This window comes from Homo sapiens, chromosome 9, assembly GCF_000001405.40.
Source record: "Homo sapiens chromosome 9, GRCh38.p14 Primary Assembly".
In the NCBI taxonomy this organism is placed as follows: Eukaryota; Metazoa; Chordata; class Mammalia; order Primates; family Hominidae; genus Homo; species Homo sapiens.
In genome coordinates this window covers 16,370,953-16,372,097 of record NC_000009.12, presented here as the reverse complement: position 1 = coordinate 16,372,097, position 1,145 = coordinate 16,370,953, and the positions used below count along the sequence as shown (strand labels likewise).

The following is a 1,145-nucleotide window of genomic DNA, read 5'->3' as shown; positions in this document are numbered from 1 at the left end:
CCTGCTCTATTTTCCTTCATAGAGTTTTTCTGAAACAATATGCCACTTGCTTAATTGTTCATTGTTTGCTACCTACCCTCACAAGAGTATAAGCTCCCTGAGTGCAGCGGCTTGGTCTGTTTTAGTCACTGCCATACTCCAGCACTTCAAAATGCCAGGCACACAGTAGGGCATCAATATACTTGTGTATCTGAATGACTGAAGGACCCTATCAACAGCCTGCTTGATATAATGGCGTTTTTTGCACTTGCCTGTGGCCTCCCCTTCCTCCACCAGCAATATGAGGACAGAGGCCATCTCTTACTACTTTGAATCATCCACATTGTTCATTGGGCCCTTGATCTATGCTTGTGAACTTGGGGTCGAAAGACTTGTCTGAGCTTATGAGAGGTAAGATGAACTATGTGAGCGCTCTCCAGTGACTGCTTGGATTCTCTTGAAGGCTTTATTCCCTTGGGCTTCTCCTTGAAAAGGAAGATGGAAATATGTGGAGGAACCTGGCTCTGGTGCATTAGCTCCAAAGTGGCTGAGCCTATGCAAAGGCTCTTGCTAATGCTTTCACCTCGCATGACTGCACAGGGCTTCCCTCAGACAGCTGGATGTATGAGAAGAGCTGAGCAGCTGAGTTAGTAAAAGTGAACTCTCTGCTGCATCCTGCCGACTGCTCCAGCTATGGTGACTCTGGGTGACAGGAGGTGAGGAGGGGCCCTCCATGAAGCCTCTGAGGGGACCGTGGCCATCCAGGGTGCTAAGCAGCCTCCCTGGAGAAGGAGCTACCACCCATTATTCACCAGGGGCTTACTCCTGGAGATGGGAGAGGTGTGGTCAGCAGTGAAGAGTGGCCGGCTCATGGGGAAGACTGTCACATATCACAGGAAGGGATCCCCAAGCACGCCCCTCACTATCAGCAGAGTGCCCCAGGTGCCCTCTTTACTTTGTAGTTAACCCCAGTCACCATTTTACTTTTCGCAGCTGGTCCCATTCCAACCAACTGAACTAAAGACTGTAAATCTTAGTCAGGACATCTGGGTGCGGGCATCTAAGCAGCCCTGATGCTGATTCCTTAAGAAAACTCATTTCTTGTAATGTGAGCCCTGCCGAGGATGGCCATGTCAACTTATTAGACTTTTTACTTGGCCGTATTG

General features: G+C 49.3%; 1 annotated feature.

The window, feature by feature from the left end:
- Positions 553 to 602: a silencer, noted in NCBI's record as "silent region_19788". NCBI's record gives its function as "represses an Ori minimal core promoter by ATAC-STARR-seq in GM12878 lymphoblastoid cells {active_cell/tissue: GM12878}" and the evidence as "EXISTENCE:reporter gene assay evidence [ECO:0000049][PMID:35858748]".